An 18564-nucleotide genomic window follows, 5' to 3' on the forward strand; every position below is an offset into this window, starting at 1 on the left:
TGGGAGGTACTCAGCGGTTCTGCCAACGCGCCAAGGCAAGCTGAGGGCAGGACCTCACCGCAGACCCACAGATCCTTCCGGTTCTGGCTTTTACCTTCTGGGCCGAGTCCAGCAGGAAGTGATATAAATCAGTTGGTGTTTACCAAGTACTTACCACACACCTGATATTACCAAGTCCATAAGGTCTGAGACTATAAAGTTATCACAGAACCCTCAACACATCCCTTTCAAAGAACAGAATCTCTACCAGTAACTGACACATGAGGAAGCAGGTGCAGAGGGAAAATGCCTGGGTTAGAATGTGAACCATGGTCAGACAGGCTGTGAAGCCCAGGTCCAGAACCTCTGCACCTACCTTTTGGCATCCCTGGACCTGGAGGGGTCCTTGGACATCCAGAGAGCTCTGAGCAGTGCCCAGCTCTGTCTCAGTAAATACCCAGGGCTGGCCCAGCCTGCAGCATAGAGTGCTAGGTAGGCCTCCTCCAACCCTAGGAAGGCTCATGGACACAAAATGCAATTGGCACAAAAGTCCAGTCATTTAATAACAAATGCTCCCCCTACCCTCACCCCATCACAGCACCCTGAGAATCACGGGTCCAACTGTGTGGGAGGGGGCTGTGGAAAGCCAGGATGAATGGGGGCAGTAGGTAGGGGGCTGGGTGGGCCTCTGCACCTCATGTCACTGGCTCCTGGGAGCAGAGAATCAGGCTGGGCACAGAGGCCTCTTCTCTGACCAGGCACCAGCAGGGCAGCTCCATCCAAGGGAAGCGAGGGCTGCCCACTGGCCCAGCCAGAGAGCATGAGGGGTCAGGGCTGGCTGGAGAAAGGAGGAGGAGAAGTGACTCTGGTCCATCACACTTAGGTCCTCTGGCCTGCCTCTGCCACATCCAGCTGCTAGGGGCTGGCCTCAGCCCTGTGAGGGGCCGCAGGCACTCACTCCGGCCTTGCCTTCTTGGCCTTCTTCTCAGACCTCACCGCCTCATCGTGGGCTTTCCGCTTCTCCGCCAGCTTGTTGGCCTGTGAGGGGGAAGGCGAAGGTCAGGCTGAGGTATGTGTAGAAGGGAGGGTGGGGGGCACAGAACTCAAAGCTATATCCCTTAAAAGCAGAGCTTCAAGAAAAGGTCACAAATTCTCACAGGAAAAAAATCTACCTGACCCACTTCATGGTGAGAAAACATGCGCTAGCCCTGCTTTAACAACATTATTTCATGGGCCCACAAATCTCGAGATAAGAGAATCCTAAACTCCCAGAGCTGGAAGGAGCCTTGGCAACTGCCCCATTTCCCTACACCACCTGGGAAAGCTGGATGCCACTAGAACCTTCACCAGGAGCTGGTGGAAAGGGGTACAACAGGAAGAACCTTCTTTCCGGGGTCATCTGACAATATATTTTTAATTTTTTTAAAGGGACAGGGTCTTTCTCTGTTGCTCAGCCTGGAGCACAGTGGCACAATCATAGCTCACTGCAGCCTCAAACGATCCTCCCACTTCAGCCTCCGGAGTAGCTGGGATTGACTACAGGTGTGCACCACCATGCGTAGCCCTTTCTTTTTTTTTTTGGGGGGTAGAGACAGGGTCTCAATATGTTGCCAACGCTGGTCTTGAACTCCTAGCCTCAAGTGATCCTCCTGTCTTGGTATCCCAAAGTGCTGGGATTACAGGCGTGAGCCACCATGCCCAGACCCATTTGACAATAACTATTTCAAAACTGCAGCAATTATGCTTCTAAGAATTTAGCCTGCAGAATCATTAAGAGGCGGGCAGGAACATGCTCAGGGATGTTTTCTGAGAATGACTGAAACTGGAGAACAATCTAATCCCATCACAGGGGACAGGCCAGGTTTTGGATGAGAAGTCCATATTATGGTTAAATGAAAATTACAACTCAGGCTGGGTACAGTGGCTCATGCCTCTAACCCCAACACTTTAGGAGGCCAAGGCAGGCAGATCACTTGAGGTCAGGAGTCCAAGACCAGCCTGGCCAAGACAGTAAAACCCCGTCTCTACTAAAAATACAGAAATTAGCCAGGTGTGGTGGCACACGCCCTAATCCCAGCTACTCGGGAGGCTGAGGCAGGAGGATTGCTTGAACCTGTGAGACACAGTTTGCAGTGAGCAGAGATTGCTCCACTGCACTCTAGCCTGGGTGACAGAGGAAGACTCTGTCTCAAAAAACAAATTATATCTCAAAACAACCTATAGCATGACCTCCCAAACACGGGTCATTATGGGCACAAGAGAAACCTGGGGGCTGTTACTACAGGCTGCTCTATTCCAAGGGCAGGGCTGTGAGCCACTTCTGCATCACTCATCACAGGGTTCCAGGGTGCATGAGTTTGTATTTTTAATTAGCATATATGGCTTCATGAACAAGAAAATACAAAACAGATAGAAGTTTAACAAAGCTCCCCCCCGCCACCCCCGCCCCCAGTCCTTGAGTCTGCCGGGAAGGCTCTGTTTGCAGACCCCAGCAGACTCAGGAAGCCGGATGCGGGGTGGGACGGAAGCCGTAAGGAAAGCCCAGGCCGGAGATGGCAGTACCAAGACGCCTACACTGGCCCAGGTCGGGGGCCCCAAAGGCTGGGCTGGGCCAGGCAGGCAACCTCAGGAAAAGGCTAGGAGAGCCTCAGTCTGCCTAGAGGAGGGCCCCAAGCCACATAAGTTCACCTGTGCAGTTGGGTCTGGTGGCCACACCTGGATCTCAAGTGGGTGGCAAGAACTCACCTCTCGGATTTTTCGCCTCTTGCCAAACATGATCTTCTGGTACAGGTACTTCTCCCGCTTCTTCATCATCATAATGGCCAGGCGCTTGGCCTCACTCTCCTCCTCCTGGGCCAGCCGCTGCTTATCCTCCAGCTTCAAGGTGCCTGCCATCACCCTGGGCTTCTGGGGACACAAGGAGGGTGCTTATGGGGGCAGGTTCTCCCGACCTCCACAGTCCTCTGGCTCCTGACCTTCTAGGCCAGAGCAGGCACCAAGCAGGGCTGCTTCCCAGGCCAAGCCCCGCATTGCAGCTCCCCCTACCTTCCCCTCCATCCTCTGCTCTTCCAGGGCTGCCAGCCGGGCCTCTTCCTCCTTTTCTGAACCAGCCTCTGCATCTTCCTCCTCCTCCTCATTTTCTCCCTCTTCATCACCATCACCTTCGTTGTTGTCGTCCTCTTCCTCCTCCTCTTCTGACTCATTCAGGTTTCCTAGAGAAAGCCAATGTCCTCTGAATGCCCTGGGAATCTACTGTCTCTCTGGCAGGGTGACAACAGGCCCAGGCCCCATCCTCTCTGACCCTGCCGTCTTTAGCCATGGGCAGTTCAGGGATGTCCCAATTGTGGCCCTCTCTTGCACCTCCCCACAGCCCAGCTGCCATCAGAGGAAATTCCAAGACCCCCAGTCCTGAGCTCTGTCGCCTCCAATGTAAACTCTGATGACAATGCAGCATGTTCTTCTGCTCAGTCATCCTGAACGTCAAATAACACCTGACCCCAGGAGGTAGATGTCCCTTCTCCTAAGCCTTATTCTACAGGTGACTTCAAAGGGCTTTCTGCTCCTACTGCCTGTTCCCTGGAGCTTTCCACCTTGGCAGCTAAGGGAAACAGCCAGCGTGGGCCCAGGGGTCAAGGCCAGCCCAGTCCCATCCCGCTCACCTGGGTCCTCTCCCCGCTGCAGAGCCAGCAGCTTCAGCTTCTCAGGTGGAACGTAATCTCCTTCCTTCTCGGTCACAAAGGGTGAAAGGTGTGGGGGCAGCTGCACCCCAGAGAAGTACTCTGCCACGGGGAGAAGGAGCCTGGCGTTCACTGAGTCAAACACCCACTGGGGCTGCACGTAGCACCTGGCGCAGAGTGGCAGGCAAAAACGAGTCACAGAGGGCAACTCAGGGTCCTGCTGCATCGCAGGGCCTTTGAGACAGGATACCCAGAAATCCGGACGAGGACCCTTGAGGGCCTACCTGCCAATGACTGAGGTCTGCTGCCCAGGCCGGTCGACAATCTGATGGGTGATGCGGGAGTCTGTGACGTCATAGGTGGCCCCAATGCACAAAGATTTGTCCCAGGACACTTCCCCACCAAAACTCCTACAGGGACAGGGAGAGCCCACACGGGTACACAGACATGAGCTGCCTGTCCTGAGACTCAGCTCCCTGGGACCTGCTGGCCACCCAGCCCATAAACTCACCCTCTTAGGACACAATTACCCCCTCCTCACCCCAGGATCCTTCAATCCTGGCTCAGCAGAGATCTGCCCACTGCCCATCCTTCTGTGCTAAGCTAGTAATAAAATGACGGCAGTTCCGCCCTCTGCTGAGCACTTCCTATGTGCTCAGTGCGGTGCCGAGCACTTTCCACACACTGTTTCATAAGAAGTGGAAACTGACACCATCCCAATGTTACCGATGGGCACCAGGGCAGGACCCAGACCAGAGCATGGCCGAACCAATGCTGTCAGCGGGCCCTTGAGCCTCCCTACCTGATGATGAAGGCCAGGGCCTCACGGGGCACCTCTCGGTTCAGGAAGAACTTCAGGCCCTCAAAAAGCTTCTTGTGCTTCTCCTGCGCCTCCAGCTCCTTCCTGCGGTCTTCCTCCTGCGCTGACATCTCCTGTTGAGAAAGGGGCCAGGCCTCGCACCACCAGGGCTGCCCACCCCCACTGGAGGGCCAGGGCTGGAGATAACGTCCACTCCAGCTTCCTTCTAGATCCTGGATCCTGCCTTCAAAGGAAACTCCAAGGCCCCACTCCTGAGCTCTGTTGCCTCCTATGTAAACTCTGATGACAATTCAGCCCATTCTTCTGCTCAGTTGCTTTGACCATCAAATAACACCTAATTATAGGATGCAAATGTCCCTAAGCTGGGAAACCCCCCACACGACCCCTCCCAGCCCTCCTGCCAGAAGGCAGTGCAGTGCTCACCCCATCGGTGGGAAACTCATCCACCTCGGCCTCCTCCTCTGTGGCAGGCACCACCACGCGGGCCAGGCTGGCACTGAGGGCTGCCAGTTTCTACAGGAGAGAAGGGGGCTGCTTGCAGTGGGGGACCTCATGCGGGCATGTGGCCAGGGTGGGGAGGGGCAGCAGTGACAGTCCTGGGCATCAGCAGGTGTGGGTTCCAAGGGCAGGCTGAGACCACCCACCTAGCCATAACCACCCCCACTCTGAACCAGACCCCCAGAGGTGTTGGGGACAGAGACCACTCCCTTGGGAGATGCCGGATGATGCTCCTGGAGCCTCTCACCTCCATACAACTCTCGGAGTCCAACGCGTAGGTGCCCTCACCGGCCTTTGCCTCTGCTTGGGCCTGACCCTCGAGCTAGTAGGCAAAGGGAAGGTCAGGAGGCAGAGGACAGCCACAGCCCCTCGCCTCTGTGTGGACAGAGAAGGGCTGTGGCCCCTGCACGGCGAGCAGAAGGCACTGGGCTGGGGTCCTACCTTCGGGGGATAGTGGAGGTTGAGCAACTGGTAAAGGCGGAAGTTGACAAAGCCCAGCAGCGTGGTGTAGAACTCGGTGAAGGTGGCCATGACCCTGTAGTCCACGTCTGTCGGGTGCTGGGGAACACAAGAGATGCATGAGCAGTGTGGGTGCAGGGATGGGGGCAAAGGAGGGACAGACAACCCACAGAGTGGAGGGTGTCTGACCTACCCAAAGACCCCAAGCTCCTCAAGAAGGCTCTGCCCTTAAGGCGCTGCCCTAGGGAAGGGGTGGCATGGATCTTCCCACCAGGGGCGTTCCGGCCACAAGTGTTCCCAGCCACAAGTGAGGCTCTGGATAGGGGTCCCAAGGGTTAGACGCATCCTGGAAGTCAGTGCCAGACCCCCATAAAAGAGTGAGAAAAGGGACCCTGGTCCCTGCTGCTCCGAAGACTGGCTGGCCCTCCCCTCCCTGCTCCGGCTCTCCCACTTCCTTCAGGTCTAGCTCAGACTCGGACAGACCACTTTCCGACCTGGCCAGAGCTCCTGCCTTCTACATCACCTAGTCTACAATCTTTGCTGCATGTCTGCTGCTGGGCTAGCGTGTGAGCACCAGAGGGTGGTGCTCCCAGCGCTGTCTCTAGCCCAGAGGGGCTGGCAAAACCTTGGCTGACTAAGGTGCCTTGGGAAGGCCAGGCCCAGCGGGGGCGGGGGAAGCATGGGGCTCAGGCCGCCCACTGAGTCCCACCTCTGAACCTTGGGATGGACACTCAGAATTGAGTGACTCCCTCCTTGGGCCCAAGCCAGGTCCAGAGGCATGACCCGAGGGGCCAGGGTAGGCTGGCAGCTGGCCTGGCTCAGCCCCCAGGGAGCTCTTGGGAAATGGCCAGCAGACAAAACTACTTTTTGCTCAGGGAAAAGGCACAGAGCTGTCATCCCAGCAGCAGGGGACACAGAAGGCTCATCTTTGCCCTGGAGCAGTTAATAGGGCAAAACAGGGCAAAGAACTGAGGCCCAGACAGAATCACAACTCTTGAGCAGTTCTGCCCCCTAAAACCATGGAGGCCGAGCCAGCCCATTTGGCCCCCAGGACGCGGCAGGATGTTCCGAGCAACGTGAAAATCAGTAGTGATCACCATGGGTGCCGGGTGTGCCCATGACTCTTAGCTGTTCCGCTATTCTGCTGCCAGACAGTGACCTGTGCTGTGAGAGCACATAGGGCCAAGAGAAGCCCTGCCTGTTCCCTCACTCACACCGCCATCCTTCCATGAGAATCTGTGAGGGCCCCTGACAGGCACATCTGGGGACCAACCCCATTTCCCACAGCCCAGCACTGAGCAGGGAGACCCCGCCCCTACAACCAGCCTGAGTTCCACAGCTATGAACCCAACCCTGGCTGCTCACAGGAGGGGCACAACTGGGCTCCGCTACGACCTAGTGCCAGTCCTCCCCATCCGCTGAGAGGAAGCAACGGCAGTGAACTGGCCAAGGAGGAAAGGGGAATGCGTGGCTGGCTCCCTTCCCCCAGGGCCAGCTGTGTGGAGGCCGGCCCACCACAGGGCCCTATTCACCACCAGGGAGGACACACAAAGACCAGTCTGAGCAGCATGGGGGCAGGACATCAGAGAGAAGGAAGGACCAAGAGGAAGGCAGGAAGGAAGGAGGAGGAGAGGAGGGCTGGGGAAGGGAAGAAGGAAGGGCCACCCACACGTGCCCCAGGGGGAGAGGGAACAGGGACTGCTGAGGGCCAAGCCCGCCTCTCACTCGCAAACAGGCCACAGCCTCACCACCAGACAGCCAGTCAGGGTAGGTTCCAGTCCTTGCAACCCCACCCACAAGGGATCATAAGTAACAGCCCAGGGCACCTAGAGTCCCAGCTCCCCCTGGAGCCCCTGATAATCTGGGCAGCAGAGCCACTGTGCTAACTGGACCGGCAGCGGCTGCTCTCCGCTGAAGGCACCAGTTCCCACTCAATGATCAAGCAAGGTGGGCTAAATGCAGGCCACCAGCACAGGGAGGCAGGAGAGCCTGGCCCACCTGCGGGGCACTAGAAGCTCCATGAGAGGGCAAAACCAGGGTTTCTCTCAGTGGATCCCTGCCAACAATTCCCAGGATTTCAAAGAGATAAAGAAAAAGGCTGGGCTCTGTGGCTCACGCCTATAATCCTAGCACTTTGGGAGGCTGAGATTGGAGGACTGCTTGAGCTCAGGAGTTCCAGACCAGTCTGGGTAATATAGTGAGACCCTATCTCTATTTTAAAAGAAAAAGAAAACAATATATGTAGGAAACAGTGCCACATGCTAAGTGCTTCTCCTGTGCTCACCGTTCCCCTTCTCTCCCAGTCCCCGAGTCCTGTGGGGCAGAGAGGCAGGAAGGGGGAAGCAGAGAAGGGAGGCAAGGCCACTTGGCCAAGGTCTGGCAGCTATCGGCAGCAAAGCAGGGACGAGGAGCCCAGTAGGTTCGAGGGCAGGGCTCTGCCACTGTCCCCGTGGTGGCACCACATGGTGCTGGGCATGCAGGCTGGGTATGGCCCTGATAGCTGTTCTCACTGTTTATTCGGCCCTAAAAGGCCAAGCACCAGGCACTGTTAAGGGTGTAGACACTGTTAACTGAGGCACAGAGAGGTGAAAGGAACACGTCCAAGGGCACGCAGCTGGCAGGTGCTGCCATAGGGCTAGCTTAGGCTCCCGCTCTTAATGAGGATGCTGTGTGGCACATTCTGCCGCGCCTCACCCCTCATCAACAGTTGGGAACCCAGCACTTGCTAAACTCCATGGACAGCAAAATCCCCCTTCCTCCACATCCATATCTGTCTAGGAGGCAGCACAAGCCCGTCCCCTCCCGACAGGCACACTCACGTCATGGGAGAAGGCATAGGGAGTGATCCACACGATGGGCTGCCCCAGTACCTCGGCCTGGTAGTAAATGCCTTTGATGGACAGGAAGACCTAGGGGAGAGGAGGAGACATCTGGGTGAAGACCATGGGGTGGCAGGAGAGGGGGCAGGGTGGGATGCCAGCCGGGCAGTCCCAGGCTCACCTTGCGCAGGGCACGGGCAGCGATAATGTAGTGCATGAACTCCACAGTGAGCCGGCGGCACAGCTGAATGGTCTGCACGTGGCACTTGCCAGTCCGCGGGAAGGTGGAAAACAGGAAGCACATGGAGAGGGCATCGTCCAGGTCCCGCAGGGCATCGATGAACGTGGGATACCTGCATGGCCAGTGAGGCAGCACATGGGGCCTGTTCAGCGTGGGTGCCAAGGGGGACCCTGATCTCCTTATCCCACCCCAGATGCCCCGTTCCTCAAGCCAGGCCTCACCACTGCCACCTCCTGACCTGGCAGGAGCAGCTTCCCCACAGCTGACCACAGCCCCTAGGAGGAACCACTTAACCAGGATGCGCCCACTAGGCTCTGAGGACCAGAGAAGTCCCGATGGGGGTCCTCAAGACACCGAATGCTCACCAAAGACCCAGCCTTGACCCACGTGCGGATTTTGTGGTGCACGACGGTAGACGGAGTCAGGGGCTCTATGACTCTCTTTGAAGGTGGAAACTTTAGTGCACAGACACTCTACAGGGAGGTCCAAAATGGAAAATGGGAAACCGAAGCTGCCCTGGTGGAGCAGGGAGCGGGGTGGGGGCTGCTTCCCCTCAGCAGCACTTATGACTGGGCCTGGCCACCGGTCGCCAGCGTAGGTTATGTCTTCCATGCCTCTCATCCCTTGGACATGTCTAGTTGGCAGAACCAATGAGACCCAGGGAATTGGGTCCAGGAAGAGCCAGAGCAGAATGTGTTTCGGGGAATCCTCTGGTAAATGACGAAGCCAACAAGGATGAGCCACCCTGGGCACTGTGTGGCTGCCCTGTTGAGGGACAGAGGCATGGGTCACAGAGAAGACACGGAACCACAAGTAACGACACCTGGATTCCAGTCCCGGTCTGAGCTGTGACCCAGACTCTTCATTTACAACTGGGCTCTTGCAGCTCCCTAGAAACACCTTGAGCCCAAGCGGACAGACAGAGCTTCAAGCCTCTCTCCCGCAGCCACAGCAGCTGCCAGAGACGCTGGCATCCAAACTGCCTTCCAGGAAGCTACCTTTTCAAAAATCATTTTTGTTACTTTTTCTATTTTCTTTTTTCCAAATGCCCAGTCTTCAAGGAGAAGAAGCTTCCTTTTGAAGAATGGGTTCTGGTCAGGGGTTGGGGGGAGTGGGGGCAGGGGTTAAAAAAAAAAAAAAGAATGGGTTCTGCTATTTCAAAAAAGACTCCAAAATCCATGAGACCAGACATTGCCAAGGTCCTTCCAGCCCCAGATAGCATCACTCACTGCTGCGAGTCAGAAGTCTGCCAGGTCTTCAAACCCATGCCAAGATGCAAGAAAGGCCTGCAGAGACCTCTGATGAGGCAGCAGAACAGCTGTCTGGTTTCTTGGTGCAGAGGTGGCGGCCTCAACTGGCCCCCTCTGGTGCCTTGTAGTTTCCTCACTCTCCACCTCACAGACAAAACCAAGAACCCAGGCTTTCTGTAGAAACAGCACCAGCATTTCTGGGCCAACTGCTTTTCTTTCTTAAGCTCTGGCTCTAGCTAAGGAGCTGGGGATGGTGTAGTATGAGATCACCACAACCACATCACCACACTTGGTGTGTGTATGAATCCAGGCACTTGCTTTTCGTGTGTGGCTTTTTTTCATTTATTTCACCTAACACTGTGTGCCACAGGCAGGACAGGAACTACCATCATCTCTTCTGAAGATGGGGACCTGCTCGGGCTAGGAAATACCCTCTGGCCACCCAGCTCATGTGCCACACAGCTGGGATGCGAACACCAGCTGTCTAGCTCCTAGGCCAGGGCACTTCCTGTGACAGCCCACAGCCAGGTTGGATGAAGCCAACCCGAGCCATCCTAGAGCTCAGTGTTCCTGGGCCATCAGCCTCCAAAGATGACAGACATTTACCAGTCCAGGGGTTCTGAACTTTACCACTACTGACATTCCGGGTCAGACTATTCTATGTTGTGGGGGACTACTATAGCGTATTTAGCAGCATCACTGGCCTCTCTCCACTCAACACCAATAGCACGTCCATCCAAGTCGTGAGAACCAAAAAGAGTCTCCAGACATTGCCAAATGTCCACTGGAAAAGCAAGATCACCCCTGATTAAGAATTGCTGATTTAGGCTGAGTGCGGTGACTCACACCTGTAATCCCAGCACTTTGAGAGGCCGAGGTGGGTAGATCACGTGAGGTCAGCCTGGCCAACATGGGGAAACCCAGTCTCTACTAAAAGTACAAAAATTAGCCAGGCGTGGTGGTGGTGTCTGTAATCCCAACTACTCAGGAGGCTGAGGCAGGAGAATTGTTTGAACCTGGGAGGTGGAGGTTGCAGTGAACTGAGTCTGAGAAGGCTGGGCAAGGAACAGTTCAGACGAGAGGTGTCTAGCCATGCTTCCCACGTCTCACCAGGTACCCGTCGTGCCTTCATGGAGCCCTGGGGCTCTCCCACCATGGGGCCTTTGCACTTGCCATGGCCTCTGCTTGGATTGTGCTTCCGCGGGCTGGCTCAAACGTCTCCCTTCAGAGACCCCTCTGACAAGCCTGTAACTACAAACCTCGTAATCATTATAGTAATTTGCTAGCTTGGTTTTTGGTCTGTGTCCTTGAAAAAGTTGCAAGCTCTTTGAGCAGGGTCTTGGTCTTATTCCCTATTGTATCCCTGGTGCTAGGGCAGAGACCAGCAGTAAATGAAGAAACAGCAGTGTCCTGAGGAAAGCCCGGCTCACCGTTCCTTGATGATGTGGTCGAGTTTGTAGTTGGGCTTATTGTCCTTTAAACGCTCTACAGTGTTCCACTCGCTCTTCCCATAAGCCTTCCGGAGCTTCCGGACGAACACCTGGAAGAAAGAAAGAAAACACCTCAATGCTGAGGCTCAGGTCTCCTGGACAACTTCTTCCATGGAAGATGGAAACGCAGGGCAGAAGGACTCTCATGCCTCCTGAAGCTGGCCACGGCTATGTGCCTGTGTCACTGACCCCTCTGCCCAGGATGAGCAAAAGAGCCAACTCCAAGGAGCACCAAGCCTGGTGTGTTAACCAGCAGAGCTAGACCAGGCACCCTTTTTGACAATGCACAGATGTCCCAACTCCACACGTTTACATGGGAGGATGGCACAGCAAAGCAGCTCCGTTTTTCAACTGAGAACAGAAGCCAAGTGACCTGACACTGACAGGATGAGAAAGGCTGGCCTCCATTGCCAACACCAGACTATATCAGCATGAAACAAGCTGTGGGTCTGTGTGTGACACTGAGACACCCAGAAAAATGCAACGGAGTCCTGTTTTGGGGCCAGGTCCTCCAAACTAACCGACCTCTTCCCTCCAAGTACTTCTGTTGAGGCTCACCCTGCCCTCTGTATAGGCTTACTCAGAGAGGGTAGGCAATCTGCCCAAGGTCACAGTTAGTTAGTGGGTCACAGAGCTGCGATGAGAACCTGACAGACCCTAGAGCCCAGACCTCACCTTGTATTCACGGAACTTGTTGACAATGGGTTCGTGGAGGAGAAACCTGATGTCTTTGATAAGGTAAAACGTTCGGGCTGCTGTAGAACCCTTGTTAACCTTCTTCTTGTGTTTGGGTTCATGGGGATAAATGCCCTTCAGAATGCACAGCCGCCTGGAAGACAGAGGCCATCTGTTATGTCAGTTATGTGGGTAAAGGTGGGGAGCACTGGCCACAGCTGGGCCTGGAAAACAACAGTAAATGGGGAACATGGGGTCCCTGCCCTTAGAGACCTCACATCCTAGTACATGAGTCTGACAGTCACAATCATAAAACAAAAACGCAGACTTGCGAGTCTCTAGGGGAGTTAAGAAAGGCCTTTCTGAGATATCAACATTTCAGCCATAAAAAGGAGAGAAGCATCCTAACAAAAGAGACAAAGTCCAGAAGGCTGGAAACAGCTGGTGTGTTTGAAGGAATAAAAGTGGACCAGGTGGCTAGGCGTGATGGCTCACATCTGTAATCCCAGCACTTTGGAAGGCTGAGGCAGGAGGATCACCTGAGGTCATGAACTGGAGACCAGCCTGGCCAACATGGTGAAATCCCATCTCTACTAAAAAAAAAATACAAACATTAGCCAGGCACGGTCGCCAGCAACTGTAATCCTAGCTACTCGGGAGGCTGAGGCAGGAGAATCGCTTGAACCTGGGAGGTGGAGGTTGCAGTGAGCTGAGATCACGCCAATGCACTCCAGCCTGGCCAACAGAGTGAGACTCTGTCTCCGGGGAAAAAAAAAAAAAAAGTGGGCCAGGTGAGCCACAAAGGCCAGGGACCGCCAGAGGGCAGGGCCCACAGGCCACAGTGAAGTCTTATTTTGACTCTATGAGGAATGAGAACCCCTAGTTGCAGGATCAGGGGTCTCTTCTACCAGATAGGAGGGGATGGATGGCAGGGACCCAGCCCAGCCCATCCCAGCCCAGCTAGCCCATCCTGACAATCCAGTTCAGTTCTCCTCCATTTTCCCTTGGACCACACCTAGCAAACACAACTCACTAAAGCAAGGGCGGTGAGAAAGAGAAGGAATACCAGAACCCCAGAATGGGTATGGCAACTCAGGTAAGACAGGGATGCAGCTGAGTTTTCAATGTGCAATTCACTGCCCGGGCTTCCCACGGTCCCTCTATATTCACCTAAAGTCAGCCAAGCTCAGCTGGAGCTTCTTCCGGGCTTTGTTCCGGGTGATGTAGTTGGTGGCCGAGCCTCGTTCATACTGGGAGAGGAAAAAAACAATTCTCCATTAGCAATGATTGTAGTGACTGACATCAAACTCTGGGCATGCCTAGTTCCAGAGGCAACTATCACTCTGGATAAGTGGCTGAGATGAGTCTAGGAGAGGAAACACTGCAGGGAAGGAGCCGACCTGCCTGGATGAGCTCTCCTGTACCATCCTTGCGGCTGTCAGCATAGGGAACACATACATCTGCATGATGCTGAGGGCTGCGAGGCTGCTACGGATAGGGTGCTGTGCCAAGTGCTTAGCACTAGCTCTAAATGTTGGCCATTACAATTAGTGATTTTCACACATTTCATTTAATTCCCATAACCCTGTGATGTAGGTGCTGTCCGAACGTCCATTTCACATAGGAGAAAACGGGCTCGTAAAATAACCCATGCAACTCTTAAAAAGCACACAGCTTTTTAAGAGTTGGGGCTGGGATTCAAACTCAGGTCTGAGTCCAGTACCTGAATGCCTAATAGCTAAGCCAGTGTTCCTAATCTTTTCCCCTTCTTTTCTTCCTCATTATAACCTCTTCACCACTACCAGGAGACTTATTAGACACCCCCTTCCTCCCTCACCCATCACCCTTTCTTCCCTATGCCCCATAAAATGTTAATACCAGAGATATACTGTAGGTCTGTTTATGTAATGTAGTCCTTGGGGAGCCACAACCATTGTAATAGCTAAGATACTGCCCCTCAACCAATTTTGTTCCCTTGAGGGTGGTATTACCCTGGCTGAAAAAGCATGCTCTAAGCCACACAGCTTCTCCCCTTCCTCATTCATTCATTCAACAGACAATAACAGGTCCTCTATTATGGTCAAAGCACTAAGCTAGATGCTATGAAGGCAATAAAGACAAAAAGCCTGGTCTCTACCTGCCCCTAAGAAGCCTATTGTCTTGTATAACCATCTGGATGCCTGTGGTGCTAAGATGCTGCCTCACACCCACATTTCTGTATCCCTCACACTTCTGTATCCCTCGATAGAGACAATCAGTGCACTGTAACAAATACCCTGCAAGCTAACAAGCATGTCGTTTCCAAACAAGATCTTCCTCTGGACTAAGACAGCAGGGGCCTCTTTGGCTAGGTTCAGCTCTAAAGAGACAAACCTGTTAGTCTCCCACAGGTACGTTTACTAATAACATCATAGTCATGAAACATACCCTTCATTCATTCTTTCCTTTAGACATTAATTGTCTATTAGGTATTAGGCCCATGCTAAGTCTTGGAGGTATAAAGATGAGTTTCAGACTGCCTTAAGAAGTTGAGTTTTCATTTATAGCGTTTTCCATTACCTTATGCCACACTTATCTCTGTCACCATGCTTATCCTTATAAATGTTAAGGGAATAAATAGTTCTCAATGGGGTACTCCCTGGGTATGTGCTGGGGGGAGGAGAGTTCAGCAATGTTTGGAGACATTTTTGGTTGCTGGGTGCTACTGGTATCCAGTAGGTAAAGGATCAGGGATGTTGCCAAATATCCTACTACACACAAGACAATCCTTCCCACAACAAAGACTCATCTTTGTTGATTCTGGCTCTGAAACCCAGCTTTTAAAAACTGTAACGATTTTGTTACATATCTACATCTGCAACTCAAGGGCAGGTTTTCCATCTTGTATCTTTGCAGTTCCGATGGCTAGCACTGGATACTCAATGTAGTGTGTTGGGTTAAGAACACTGGCAATAGAAACTTTCACTCTGAAAGAAACACTTAAGCCAACTATATATTCCTCATTCCCATTCCCTTCCCAGTCTTTTCATGTCACTGGGCCGATTCTCCATACAGCCACAAGAACTCCCTGAAAAACTCTAATCGTGTTACTCCTCCTTTTTTTCCTACTGCACGTAGAATAAAATCCAAGCTCTACACTATTCCTACTGCACTTAGAATAAAATCCAAGCTTACAGGCCTTGCACGATACAGTACGTGTCCAACCCCAATCTTATCAGATGCCATTCTTTTCTTGGTTTACATGCGAGTCATCCTAATGTCCTTCCAACTCCTTACACACAGCAAGCCTTCCCTGCCTACTGATCTTGGCACTTGGTTTCCCTTGTCAGGCCTGCTCGCTAAGCACTCCCATGCCCCAGAACCCATCCAAGACGTTCTGATCTTTCCCATTTCAGCCGAAATGTTATGCCTCGAAGAGAACTTCCAAGACAACACTAACCAACTAATGTAACGGTGCAGTAACGGTGAGCTCTACGTAATGTTTATCACCCTTTCGGTAAATAGTGGTCCCACGGCTCGGCCTGCTTTTGGAATGAAGCTACGCTTGGTAAGTTCAACTCTCTTTCACAGCCCTCTCCACAGAAAGAACTCTGGAGTTCGTTCTCGGATTTCACTAAACGAATACTGCCATCCTTGTCCATTCTCGGACCCCTTCTCGCAGCTGATTACGGTCACGTCGATCCCGTCTTTCCAGTCTCCACGAGACGGAGCCCGGGAAAAGAGTCGACCCCATGCTCTGCCGCCCCCGCACCCCACCCCTCGGGAATCCCCACCGTCTTTCCCAATCACCTTCTTCTTCTCAAGGCCTCCCATCGCTCCACGTTGAGGAGCCGACTAGGGCCGCGCGTACAGGGAGCTCCACTTCCTCCCGCACGTGCCCTGCCAAGGACCCCGAGGACCCTCCCCACCCCACGCTGTCTGTTTGTGCGGGCTGCCCAATGAGATGCCTGTACAAGTCCAGGGAAAGATGGGGATTTCCTCCTCAAGATTTAAAACTATAGTCTGAAAAAAATCACTGAGAACACTCTTTCCAGATCTTTCCCGCTCACAATGGTTACAAACACTTTAAGTGTTAAAACAAACGTGGATATACAGGCTTTTCTGTAATCACCCTGATGACGATTCATTGACTGTGAGCCTCGTTGCATGTTGGGACGGAGAGGGGCGGAAGGCTTAGGGACAGCGCGGTGCCTTCTGGGATGCAGAGGGGCGCCGCACTCCATGGTGCGCGATAGGATTGCGTTGTCAAGGTAACGGTTGCTAAGCGTCGTCAGACTTCGGCTGCCGCTGCTGAGAAGCGGTTCCCGAGGGGCAGGGTGAGACTGCGCTGAGTTCCCACCGGCTTCGGGTTCTCTTTGGTTCATTCGCGGTTATGCGGCTAAAATAGAAAAAAGGAAGACATTTTTCCTCGCGGAGGTATAGAGATCCTAGAGGCCACTTATATTTTCTGAGCCTTAGTGGTGGACTCGTGGTATATTTAAAATGTACATTCAAGGCTGGGAGCGGTGGCGCACGCCTGTAATCCCAGCACTTTGGGAGGCCAAGACAGGCGGATCATCTGAGGTCAGGAGTTCGAGACCAGTGTGACCAATATAGTGAAACCCCGTCTCTGCTAAAAATACAAAAATTAGCTGGCCATGGTGGCACACGCCTGTAATCCCAGCTACTCGGGAGGCTGACGCAGGAGAATCGCTTGAACCTGGGAGGCAGAGGTTGCAGTGAGCCGAGATCTTGCCACTGCACTCCAGCCTGGGCGACAGAGTGAGACTCCATCTCAAAAATAAATAAATAAATAAAATTAAATGTACATTCAACATATTCGAGCTTTTAATTTGTACACATAAATTCTGTAAGTGTTCCTCAAATAATAATTCCAAGATTTATACAAATAGTCACATCACCTTGAGATGGTGCAGTCTGGAAGTAGATGCAATTTTAAGAGGTTTTTTTTTTTTTAAACGTTTCTCCCTTTTTCCAAATTCCAAATTTCGTTCGAAGATGATCTCAAAAGTTTAAATTTGAGGCTCTTGTGAATGTGACCTGGCCCAAGGACTTGGTCTTAGAACTTACACAGAGACAGACGTTAAGCACTGGTGAATACTTGTTTTGAACTATGTGACTTGCACTATCTAATTTAAAGCTAAAATTTAAAACCCAGCAATTCCACAGTTAAAAATGAGATGAAGCCGGGCACGGTCGCTCACACCTGTAATCCCAGCACTTTGAGAGGCTGAGGCAGGCGGATCACCTGAGATCAGGAGTTTGAGACCAGCCTGGCCAACATGGCGAAAACCCATCTCTACCAAAAATACAAAAATTAGCCGGGTGTGGTGGCAGGCACCTGTAACCCCAGCTAGTTGGGAGGCTGAGGCAGGAGAATTTATTGAACCCAGGAGGTAGATGTTGCAGTGAGCCAAGATTGTGCCACTGCACTCTGCACTCAAGCCTAGACGACAGAGCGAGGCTCCATCTCAAAAAAAAAAAGAAGAAGAAGGAAAGGGATGGACTGGAGAGGGTGGCAGTGGCTGGCTCATGAGGGCAACACAGGAACAGGGCTGGTGTCGTGAGCATGTGGCCTGGGCAGTCATCTCACCCTGTCCCTCACAAATCACCTAGCTCGTCCTGCACAGATAGAACCATGTTTGCAGAAAGTTGAGCCTTGTTTTGCTCACATTAATGTTGAGGGGTCACTGGAAGACACAGGTGGGGATGTTCAGGGAAGCAATTGTAATTTCAGCTCAAAATAGCCGTCATATAGGTACCACATTTCACAAGGGAGGAAACTAAGTCTCAGGAAAGTAAGTGATCGCTGAAGATCACTCAGCTGCTAAGCTGTGCAGAATAGATTCTCACCAAGCAGTCTGGTTTCAGAGTCCTCTGCTAAACTCACATTCCACTACCTAACGTATAGTAGAAAGAATGTTATGTGACTCCAGGATAATGCCAGGTAGATTTTTGTTCCATAAAGGGAAGAGGTTTTTAACCATTAGGGCTGCCCACACACAGAATGCTTTGTGCAATACCAAGCCTCCATCAGCATTACGGTGAAAAGCCCAGTCTCTGCAGGGAGACACACCTGGTTTACCTCTAAGCCTCGGACAAGCCACTTTACCTCAGGGTACCTCTCTTCCTCATTTGTAAGATGGGGTCAACACTAACTGCATAAAGTAGTTGTTGCTTTAAGTATGTTTACATTGTTTCATTTAAAACAAAAATTTGCTGGGCATGGTGACACACGCCTGTAATCCCAGCACTTTGGGAGGCCAAGGTGGGTGGATCACCTGAGGTCAGGAGTTCAAGACCAGCCTGGCAAATATGGTGAAACCCCATCTCTACTAAAAATACAAAAATTGTCTGGGCGTGGTGATGCACACCTGTAATCCCAGCTACCAGCGAGGCCAAGGCAGAAAAATCACCTGAACCTGGGAGGCAGAGGTTGCAATGAGCCAAAATTGTGCCATTGCACTGCAGCCTGTGCAACAGAGAGACTCTGTTTCAGAAAAAAAAAATTAGCTTGGCACGGTGCCTCACACCTGTAATCCTAGCCTTTTGGGAGGCAAAGGTGGGAGGATTGCTTGAGCTCAGGAGTTCTAGACCAGCCTGGGCAACATAGTGATACCTTGTCTCTACTAAACTGTGCCCCGCCTTAAAAAAAA

At 52.8% G+C, this 18564-nt stretch overlaps 1 protein-coding gene across 4 annotated transcripts in view, besides 4 other annotated features; it reads right to left on the reverse strand.

Annotated features, from left to right (window-relative positions):
- Positions 1 to 512: 512 nt before the first annotated feature.
- The window catches only part of PES1 (pescadillo ribosomal biogenesis factor 1), a 30389-nt gene continuing 12337 nt past the window's right edge, over positions 513 to 18564 (reverse strand). For 2 of the 4 annotated variants that reach the window (NM_001282327.1, NM_001282328.1), the window contains exons 3-17: positions 16020 to 16286; positions 13079 to 13158; positions 11909 to 12062; positions 11174 to 11283; positions 8434 to 8605; positions 8253 to 8342; positions 5416 to 5532; positions 5222 to 5296; positions 4900 to 4989; positions 4459 to 4589; positions 3941 to 4066; positions 3639 to 3823; positions 3025 to 3191; positions 2725 to 2886; positions 513 to 1017 (exon numbers count right to left, since the gene is read on the reverse strand). In NM_001282327.1, the coding sequence (NP_001269256.1) occupies positions 934 to 1017; positions 2725 to 2886; positions 3025 to 3191; positions 3639 to 3823; positions 3941 to 4066; positions 4459 to 4589; positions 4900 to 4989; positions 5222 to 5296; positions 5416 to 5532; positions 8253 to 8342; positions 8434 to 8556 (1350 nt within the window). In that variant the 5' untranslated portion in view covers positions 8557 to 8605; positions 11174 to 11283; positions 11909 to 12062; positions 13079 to 13158; positions 16020 to 16286 and the 3' untranslated portion in view covers positions 513 to 933. Of the gene's footprint in view, positions 1018 to 2724; positions 2887 to 3024; positions 3192 to 3638; positions 3824 to 3940; positions 4067 to 4458; positions 4590 to 4899; positions 4990 to 5221; positions 5297 to 5415; positions 5533 to 8252; positions 8343 to 8433; positions 8606 to 11173; positions 11284 to 11908; positions 12063 to 13078; positions 13159 to 15697; positions 15799 to 16019; positions 16287 to 18564 lie in introns of those variants that run through there. The other 2 variants (NM_001243225.2, NM_014303.4) reach the window with 2 other exon arrangements.
- Positions 10533 to 11732: an enhancer, noted in NCBI's record as "BRD4-independent group 4 enhancer chr22:30982632-30983831 (GRCh37/hg19 assembly coordinates)". NCBI's record gives its function as "activates an origin of replication core promoter dependent on BRD2, P300/CBP, MED14 and CDK7 cofactors, and independent of BRD4, by STARR-seq in HCT116 cells {active_cell/tissue: HCT116}" and the evidence as "EXISTENCE:reporter gene assay evidence [ECO:0000049][PMID:35650434]".
- Positions 15626 to 16341: an enhancer, noted in NCBI's record as "H3K27ac hESC enhancer chr22:30987725-30988440 (GRCh37/hg19 assembly coordinates)". NCBI's record gives its function as "activates a minimal SCP1, AML or CMV promoter by ChIP-STARR-seq in primed H9 embryonic stem cells {active_cell/tissue: H9 hESC(primed)}" and the evidence as "EXISTENCE:reporter gene assay evidence [ECO:0000049][PMID:30033119]".
- Positions 15821 to 16120: an enhancer, noted in NCBI's record as "active region_18839". NCBI's record gives its function as "activates an Ori minimal core promoter by ATAC-STARR-seq in GM12878 lymphoblastoid cells {active_cell/tissue: GM12878}" and the evidence as "EXISTENCE:reporter gene assay evidence [ECO:0000049][PMID:35858748]".
- Positions 16341 to 16420: an enhancer, noted in NCBI's record as "active region_18840". NCBI's record gives its function as "activates an Ori minimal core promoter by ATAC-STARR-seq in GM12878 lymphoblastoid cells {active_cell/tissue: GM12878}" and the evidence as "EXISTENCE:reporter gene assay evidence [ECO:0000049][PMID:35858748]".

This window comes from Homo sapiens, chromosome 22 (assembly GCF_000001405.40).
Source record: "Homo sapiens chromosome 22, GRCh38.p14 Primary Assembly".
NCBI lineage: Eukaryota > Metazoa > Chordata > Mammalia > Primates > Hominidae > Homo > Homo sapiens.